Raw genomic sequence first — 10354 nt, 5'->3', positions numbered from 1 at the left:
GATTCCCAGATTTCTACTCTGCTTCCAGAATTCTGGCAACAGGTTCCCATCAGTCAGATTCAGCTACACAGCAAATGACCCAAAATGCAGTTGGTTAGAACAGTCATTGTATTTTACTCATGATTCTGTGGGTCAGCTGGGCAGTTCTTTCGAGAAAACATGTGGAATGTATGCAAGACAAATGTGGTGTTATTTTAAATTTTCAGAAAGCAAAGACATCTTGTGTGAATTAAAAATATGGTTACAAAGTGAAAACTTCAATAGACAACAAAATTGAAGAAAGCAACCAGAAAGTAGAAAATACAAGTGCTGAATAATAGAAGAATGAAGAAAATAAAATTATAGCAATAATCTATAGTTCCAGCTGCTAGACAGAGGGAATTTCAGAATGAAAAATAATGAAACAGAGAATGTTAGCATTTCAATTAAGACATAGACTGGGGCCAGTAAACCTTTTCTGTAAAGGACCGGATACTAAATATATTAGGGTTTATGAGACATATTTCATCTGTTGCATATTCTTTGTTTAGTGGTTTGCTTGCCTTTACAATCCTTTAAAAATGTAAAACTATTTTTAGATTACTGGCTATAAACAAATATGTTACAGACTAGATTTGGCCCTGATCGGGCAGTAATTTGACAACTGCTGGTGTAGAGAATTACACAAGCTTTTCTCCTGCCAAAATAATAACAACAACAACAATAATAATATAAATTACAGGCGTCTTCTATCTGTACATGCACAGAAATGTGAAGGAACTAAATATTACTGGAAGATCTCTTCCAGGATAAGCAAAGATCAAAAGCTGCTCACCCACGTGAGACCATTGTCCAAGATCTGGGTAAATACTGGTAGAATACTGGGCCTGACAAAGGCAAAGGATGTCTGCTAGATCAAGGAAAGAACAATAGATATTTCAACAGCCATGCAGACCGCCATGACCTGCTAGAACTTTGGAAGTCTTGAAATCAAAGCTACTTCTTTTTACCCACTGAATCTCTACCACGGAACTTTGGTGCATTATGGCGTATACGGAGAGCAAGCCTAGAGTTGGACTGAAAAGATGTAGAGATATTTCCATCTTATACTGTAAGAGCATGAGAAAAAGGTTTTAAAAAAAACAGTGGAAAGATGCTGCCTGACATTGACTGAGACGTTGCAATCTCAGCTAGACATTGCTAATACTAGCAAGGCATTAAATAACTAGCACAAGTATATTAAAGAAAATAGAGAAAAAATATATACAAAATGAAGGAAAGGATGGCTGGAAATGTCCAATAGAGAAAAGAAATTCATTTATTAAAAGGATCAAGTGAAAACTCCAGAACTGAAAAATGTAATCCTTAAACATTATAGAATAAACTTAACAGACAACATACAGCCACAGAAAGGACCAGTGAACTTAAAAATGGGTAAATAGAAAATGATCAAAGGTGAAAATAGGGAGAAAATCTATGTATTAAGAATAAAAAATAAACAAAAAACAAAAATACCAGTACCAAGTGGGAGAGACATATAGGATAATAATAAACAGTATAACACACATGTAATTGAAGATCCAAAGGAAACAAAAAGAAAAAGAAGAGAGAGCTATTTTTTAAGTGTTATTTTATTTGTATAAATGTATGGGATACAAGTATAATTCTGTTGCATGGATATATTGTATCTTGGTGAAGTCAGAGCTATTAGTGTGTCCATCACTGGTTAAATTGGCTTTGGTAAAGAATTTCCTAACACTCTTTAAACTCTTCATCTCAAAGATCCAAGAAGCTCAATGAATTCTGAATATAGTACAAAACAACATCTAGGCACATCATTGTGAAATGTCTGAAAAATACAATCTTAAAAGAAGGAGCAAAACAAGCACATTGCATTCAAGGAAAAAACCATAAAGTGGACTGTTTTGCTCTATAAAGGACACTATGAAAGCAAAAAGATAATGGAATAACATCTTTAAATTGCCAAAAGAATATAAAAAGCAAAAAACCCTGCAACTCTAGAAAAAAAAATTCCTCAAAAATGGTGATAAAATGAGGCTATCTTAAGACATTTCAAAATTGAAAGAGAAACAGTATGCCAGACATGATTCTACATTTTTTTAAGGGAAGCTATTCATTAGAGGTTCTAAATGTACAGTTTTAAAAGAATATTTGTTTTAAAAAACAGCTTTAAAAGAAGAAGAAATTCAAGGAATACTGAATCTAATATAGTGTGATAAAATAAGAACATCTTTAAAATAGGAAGTAGAAACAAATCTGAATGGTTGATTTAGAAGTAGCCACTTTTGTGACGTTCAATGCTTATTCTTGTGAAAAACTACATTTTACTCATTGTACTAAATCAACATGGTGAAACCCCATCTCTACTAAAAATACAAAAATTAGCCAGGCATGGTGGGCACCTGTAATCCCAGCTATTCGGGAGACTGAGGGAGGAGAATTGCTTGAACCCGGGAGGTGGAGGTTGCAGTGAGCCAAGATCATGCCACTGCACTCCAGCCTGGTGACAGAAAGTCCTCATTAGACTGTCAACCTCCTTGAACTCTCATTTTCCTATTTACATACTAAATGGAGACAAGTGAGCAAGTATTTTGACCATTTTGTATTCAAATTGACCTTATTCACATTTGGAATATCAAATTTGGAATAGGTACACTTGTATTCTAAGGTTAGAATTAGCCAGCTAATTGCCTCTTCATCATAACAAAGCAAGCCAAAATCCAGCCTCACTTGTGACATAGTGTTTCTTAGCAGTCCCAGTCCCTTTCCTACCCATCACTGGCTGCGTGGACTTCTTTAAGACACCTAAATCTTTTCCATTCTTTAAAATCTCTACTTGGACTCCTGACACGAAAGAGTGCCCAAAGGAAGACAATTGTATTTTTGAACTCCAGAGGTAGTTCAGGAGAACCATTGCTAGAGTCAGCTCTTATTCTACCCCAATGGTTTTTTCAGTATAGGAGACACTGGTTTGGTCTCCAGAAGATGGTAAACAATACTTGATCTTTCTCAGTTTACAGGAGTATTGTCAATTCACAACCACTCATAAAAGTTATACGTAACATCAGTTCTATGTAATGGGCTGTTCATCTCCAATGAGAGCTTGACTTACATGTACTTAGATGTACTGGCCTGGCTTTTGCTATGGTTTATATGAATTCTTAAGAGAAATCAAAGGACTGGAGGTCATTTCCTTCTTGTAGCTTATGAAAGAACAGTTGGTTTTGCAGGAGATAAACCCAACATCTCTATACCTCTACTCACTCCTCTTCACGTTCTCGTCAAACCCCAACCTCATGTGATGACACAGATATCATCTACCAAAGATGCCCACACCTGCTCTCCAGTAGAGAAAAACCGTGCTCTATCTGGGCAGTCCTCGGCTACAAGCTTGTCTTATCTTCACACACCACCATCCTGACCCTGTGAGACAAGGACTATCAACAGTGCTGGGCACTGGTAAAGCCAGCATTCCCCTCTTGACTGATAACAGGGAGATGCATGAATTGGTCTTTTCAGCCAATCTCATGGTGTCCAGCCAGAGCTTATCTTCAGTTTTAAGGAAGGAAAAGCTGAAGTTGGCTAAAAGCTTTTCTTTATTCTCTCTTGCCTTGATATTCTATAAGTCACCAGGGGAGCTAAATATTGCAAAATCCTGTCATGAAAGAGCAGGCTGATAAACTGAAAAATAAAAACAGATGTGGAGCAAAGAAGGCTTATGGACATTTGTTTCTTGCTTTGGACTGGCTCAAGTGCTGGGAATCTTTATTCCTACTCCCACTAAGAAAAATCTAATATTTCCTCTGCTTCTGACTATCACAATCTTTGGATAATTCACATCTTTGGATAATCACCTCTCCCACATTGAAGTCAAAATAAAGTGATGGGAAAATGCAAAATAAAAATAATAAGTGACATTTATTGCATGTGTATGTGCCAAACACTCTACAGGCAATATTTCATTTAAACAGGGAGAAAGCCTGCAGCTCATATTCTAAGGCCTGATGGCCTGGAGTCAAATCCTAGCTTTAGTGCTTACTAGCTGAGTGACCTTGAGCAAGTTACTCAACTCATTTTTGTCTCAGTTTCCTTACCTATGCAAGGAGAATAACAATACTTTTACCAGCCACTTAAGGTTCTTGAATGGATTAAAAAGTTAATATTTAAAAATTGCTAAAAACAGTGTCTGCCATATTGTAAACCCTCAATATGAATAGACTGTTAATCTTATTATATGCAATGAAATTGGTAGTGTTATCAATCCTCATATTTTATATGAAGAACTAAATCTCGGCGAGATTAGGTCACATGTGAATTATTATGCAGAATTGGAATCAAAGCCCTCATCTGTTGGATTCCACAGCCCAAATACTTAACCATGATGCCATACAGTAGAACTTTCAAGGCAAAGTCAAAATGGAGATGCCACCAACCTATGAACACCACTGTGATTTCTACATATGTTAGGCAAATATATAATTCAGCCCCTAGTCTTGATGTTTTACTTTCACAGATTTGAATATGAATTCTACAGATTTCCCCTCAGCTTTCTATTTGCTACATGAAGGCATGACTGCTATCAGCACCCTAGGATATGAGGAATCAAAATGATGTCATGGCCAGGTCTGGTGGCTCACAGCTGTAATCTCAGCACTTTGGGAAGTCGAGGTGGGTGGATCGCCTGAGGTCAGGAGTTCAAGACCAACCTGGCCAACATAGTGAAACCCCATCTCTACTAAAACTACAAAAGTTAGCCAGGTGTGGTGGCACACACCTGTAATCTCAGCTACTTGGGAGGCTGAGGCAGGAGAATTGTTGAACCCGGGGGAGCAGAGCTTGCATTGAGCTGAGATCCCGCCACTGCACTCCAGCCTGGGTGACAGAGCGAGACACCGTCTAAAAAAAAAAAAAAATGCCTCCAGTTTTGCAAAGGCACTGATATCTAAGTACCCTAAGAGTGGAGTGTTTATCTCATCACATGGAAGGACTAACTAGAAAAGGTGGATACTACATCATCATCACCCTGCTTCACCTGAGATTTATCATATCAAATTTTATTGGCTACAAGTTACAGAAGACCCAATTCATAATAATGGATTGATTATAAAGTGTTTATTATCTCACATGACAAGAATTTATAAGAACAGATGTTTCCAGGGTTCAGGTGATTTAGTAAGACAAGAATGTTATTTTCATCCTTTCCCCTCATCACATGTAGCTTATTTCCTCTTATCTCCAGCCTTGTCCTCATATGTGGCATGATGGCTATAAGATCAGCTTGATTTTTTTTTTTTATTTTGAAACAGGGCCTTGCTCTGTTTCTCAGACTGGAGTACAGTGATGTGATCATAGCTCACTCCAGCCCTGAATTCCTGGGCTCGAGCCATCCTCCTGCCTCAGCTTCCCAAGCAGCTGGGATTACAGAGGCATGCACAACCACACTCGGCTAATTTTTAAAATTTTTGTAGAGACAAGGGTCTCACTCTGTTGCCCAGGCTAGTCTTGAATCCTGAGTTCAAGCTATCCTCCTGCCTCAGTCTCCCAAAGTGCTGGGATTACAGGTGTGAGCCATTGCGCCCAGCCTCAGCTCGATTTTTAACTGAGCTCATGACCTCCCTTAAAACCAGCTTAGATGTGGGACTAGTTTCTTACCACTGCTATATGAAAGTGGAATATGCATCTTTCAGAAGGGCCCTTTCTTCCTACTTTCCTCCTTCCTGCTTTTTCTACCCTTGAGATATGGCAGAATGGAAATCAGGAGACAGCCCGCATTCATCACGTCAGGATCTACTATATCAACAATGAATTGCTTATTATTACATGAAAGAAAGTGACATTTTAATCTCATTTAAGCAACTGCTACCTGGATTCTCTGCTATTTGAATCTCAATCAGTATCCTACTGATAGTATCTCTGCTAGTTTCCCCAGTAATCCACAGTCAGTATTGCAATTAGAATAATGACTTAAGGCTGGGTGCGGTGGCGCACGCCTGTAATTCCAGCACTTTGGGAGGTTAAGGCGGACGCATCACAAGGTCAGGAGTTTGAGACCAGCCTGGCCAATATGGTGAAACCCCATCTCTACTAAAAATACAAAAAAAGTTAGCCAGGCATGGTGGCGCACACCTGTAATCCCAGCTACTCAGGAGGCTGAGGCAGGAGAATTGCTTGAACCTGGGAGGCAGAGGTTGCGGTGAGCCGAGACCACACCACTGCACTCCAGCCTGGGTGACAGAGGGAGACTCCGTCTCAAAAAAAAAAAAAAAATGACTTAAGTAGAAATCAATTAATTCCACTTACTGTCCAATGGCTACCACCATTTTGACTGCACTTAGAATCCATAATCTGTCCCCTGCCTACTTTCTATACATATCCTACCTACCCCTTGACTCTTACTGCATCTTGTCAATCCTGACCTTCTTTCTGTTCTCCAGGAAAGAAAGCAAAAGTGAAAGAAAAGGAAAGAAAAGAAAAGGGAAGAGGAGAGGAGAGGAAATAAAAGAAGAAATGGAAAGAAAAGAAATATCATCCCCACTCTAGGAGTTTATGCTTCCTGTTCTTTCCCTCCGTCCTGTTTTCCCAAAAAGCTTTATATCATCATCTTCCTAATTCAGAACTGACCTCAGCCACCATCTTCTCAATAAGATCTTTCTTATTTCTTGATCACCCTTTCTCAATCACCCCTCATCATTACTCATAACACTGCTTTATTGCCTCATGGCTCTTCACTGTACCTGAAAGTTTATTTTCTAGTTATTTGGTTATTGGTTATATTACATGTCTTCCACCATTAGAGTGTAAGCTCCAGGAAAACTAGGAGCTCATATACCTAGACATATCTGTCTTGTAAAAGCACAGCTCAAAGTAGTTTATATTTTGTCTAGCTCTTAGTTTAATTTTCTGGATTTATTTTCATGCCATTTCATAAGCATTCAGATTGCTGGAGGGTGCCTGTTAGCTGGAGTCTTATTACATAAATGATTTTGTGTTCCCCCTTTATATGTGATGAAGATTTCAAATAGACCACACTTAAGTTACTCTCGCAATAAAAAACTAAGAGAATTTTTAAATAAAACCATAAAGAAACTTAGAAGGATTGGGGGGGTAAGGAGATAATTGGGAGAATAAACATCCAAAATGATGTCTAATTTGGTTGAAAATAACCAGGATCTACTGCATGACGCTGGGAAAAGATTACTGAAGCTCTTGACTCCTGGCCTGATTTGCAGTCTGACCTTAGGACGCCTGTTAAAATTCTCTTAAGTTGGATGGACACTTCCTAATAAATGCATTGAGAATCTTTAGATACAACAATTTCAAGTCAAGCTTGGAAGGCTTTTCTGTATGTTTTTAGTTATCTTTAAAAATTAAAAACAGCTCTGCCTGCACTTGTCTTGTTTCAGCATGGAAACGTTCCCAGCAAGTGCTTGCATGAAACAAAATAATCATTTGGAACAGGACAATTGAAAAAATGAGCTGTGCCTTTTAGGTGCTTGATGACAATCCAATTGTACTGATTTTTTAAAATTAATTTTCTTATTAAACCAGTTTAAAAAATGTATTTTTTTAAATGTACTCTTTCCTTATTCATTTTGCATCTGTTTTTTCTTTTTTCTTTTTTTTTTTTTTCAGTCCACATACTATGGATTTGGCAAGATGGAGCTATAGTTTCTGTATTTGGACGATGAACAGATAAAGAGATGTTCCATATAGAATGCAATGTTTGTTTTTGGAAATTTTACATACTTGCATTCAGTCCCACAATTATATAGATGTTTTCTGCCAGCTTTCTAATGTTTCAAGCCTATTTTCACTCTATTATTTTTCTCTAAGCAGACTTAACCTTAGAAACTGAATAATGACATCCTTCCTAGAAGAAAAAAAAAGTTTCCTCAAATTACTTCAGAGGACTTCCGTTGATGTTTTATTTTCAATAAACCTTGAGGCAAATAGCCACTTTTGAACTTTGCACTTTGCCCTCTGAGTTTCACAACCTGGAGAAAGATCAATACCAGAGTCAAAAGTGTCAGCAAAAATGAAAATGATATGCACAAATTGTTATTTATACAAGTCCCCTGATTTTGTTTACTGAGTTTAATATAAACTATGCCTTTTGATTAAAAGCAAATGTTCAAGTTCTCTGTAGGGACCTGCTGTTCTAGATGATTATATCTTGTAAGGAAAACTGCAAAGGGCAAGAATTAACATAGAAAAGCAGATGGCTAGCAGGAATTCCTTTGGTATTAAATATACTAAATAGCAGAAGATAATGACTGAGCCATGTGGCTATGTGTGGCAGAAAAGAGGAGAGAATAATTACAGCAGACATAATGCTCTATTTCTTAAGGCCTTCTGACATACATATTATTCAAAACTGTTGGTATAGTATACCAAAATTAATACAAATTATCATCCTTTTGCATTAGCTACTTTAAGTCTTGAAATTCACCACAAAATAAGACAATCAAATATGCACACAAAGATGTTATCTTTAGTGCTATTGGCACTTTAGTTCTTAGAGAAATACTAAAATAAAAAGCCAAAAAAAAAGAAAAAATTAAATGATTTTTTTCATTTTTCATAGAATTTAATGAATCAGCTTAAAATATTTTATGGGATATTTCTTTAAATGAGAAAACTATCATTGTATACAGATACATGAGAAAACCAAGATACTAAAACTGCATACCCAAAGTGATTCATCATTTGTAAAATCTTTAAATTTTGTATAGATTAAAATATACAAATAAGCCTAGAAGAAAAGATACAAAATTAATGCGCTTTCTCTGGAGTTGGGCCTGTATTTCTTATTTTTCTTATTATACATTTTTATTTTTTAAATGTTTCCTCAAAGTGTAAGCATTATTTTTGTCATTAAGAGATAATTGTTAAAATGGGTGCTACGCTGTTGATATTTATTTCTAGGCACAAAAAGGAAATGCTATTGAACTTATTAAGATTCTACATCTTTTATAGAATCTGACGAGCCATATGGCAATGAATTCCCTACTCGTTTGCTCCCTTTTGGGGTTTCCCACTACTAAGATAGCAAACCTTAACTACTTAAAAGTATTAATGAACATCTATGATAGATTGTCGTTTTAAAAAAGATTTAGCTTAAATTTTTTTGAATGATACATAATATACATTTATTTTTGGCTTTAGATAGTGCTAGGAATTTTAGAAGTTTATAATTCTTGTCCTCAAGGAGTTTATAATCTTGCTGGGGAAAACAGACCTGCTGTATGAAGTATTTACAGAATAATTAATGGACAATTTGTGTGGTCCTAACCAATTGTGTGGTGAGGTTCCTGAGTTTATTCCTCTTCTCATATGAAGTTAATATGTAAGATAATGGCAGATATTTTGTGGAGTTAATTAAGAAGAACAAATATAGTTAAGCCACAGTCAGATTTATTAATGCTGTATTTAGTGTAGCTCAAATAATTTCTCTAAAATATGGGAAGTGAAATACGTGCATCTTCTGTTTAATTTTAGCTCTCAGGGAATACAAATAAAAACATCCTGATTTTATCATTCAACAAATGTTTAAGATATTTCAATGAAGATAAAATGTTAAATCAAATAAGGATTAAAGCTCAGATGAGAGCTCTTTCAAGCAACCTATTGTCAGTTTAGTGACTCCTATCCATCAGAGGAATGTTGTGACCCATTAGAAAGAGTGTCTGTCCTTTGTAAGTGAATCTTCTGTGTCATGCCCTCAGGGCTTATGGTGATATATTACCTTTGTATGAGTTCTAACTTAAAAACAAAATGGCACAAACAAACAAAAACACCAAATAATTTACAAATGGGGAGACAAAATTAAAATTAGTGGGGGAAAAAGGCTCAATATCTGTAAGTAATTAAATATCACATTTGTTCTTTGGAATTTAGCAGCCAAGAGATCATGTTTCACTCCATTAATTTGTTCTTTTACTGCTCACTGTAGGAAACAAAGAATGAAAACCAGTTTCCAGATTTCCATCTTAATTAATCCACAATATCCTGACCAGTAAACTAATCTTCCATTATCAAATTTCGACCAAAGATTGCGACTTTTCTGGTAAGGGTGCCAAGAAGAAATATTTCAAAATAAAACAATAAACAATAAAATGTAACTTGAACCTGGAATTGAAAAAACAACTATGGATTGACCAGCTGTGTAGAGTATAGCAAAGAGTAATTGCCTTGTAACAATTTTATAATAAGATATCATCCATGTTACTCTGCATAGGATTTCAAAGGAAATGATAGTACATATATTTAGCACCCGTTATAAATTAAATTGGTGCCTTAATCTTTGCTTAGTTGTCATATTTTACTCTGATTTTACATATATATATATATATAT

General features: G+C 36.1%; 1 annotated feature.

Moving 5' to 3' along the window:
- Positions 9206-10123: an enhancer, noted in NCBI's record as "NANOG hESC enhancer chr17:68865615-68866532 (GRCh37/hg19 assembly coordinates)". NCBI's record gives its function as "activates a minimal SCP1, AML or CMV promoter by ChIP-STARR-seq in naive H9 embryonic stem cells {active_cell/tissue: H9 hESC(naive)}" and the evidence as "EXISTENCE:reporter gene assay evidence [ECO:0000049][PMID:30033119]".

This window comes from Homo sapiens, chromosome 17 (assembly GCF_000001405.40).
Source record: "Homo sapiens chromosome 17, GRCh38.p14 Primary Assembly".
In the NCBI taxonomy this organism is placed as follows: domain Eukaryota; kingdom Metazoa; phylum Chordata; class Mammalia; order Primates; family Hominidae; genus Homo; species Homo sapiens.
The sequence above is the reverse complement of the archived record's forward strand: the minus strand, read 5'-3'. Positions and strand labels throughout refer to the sequence as shown.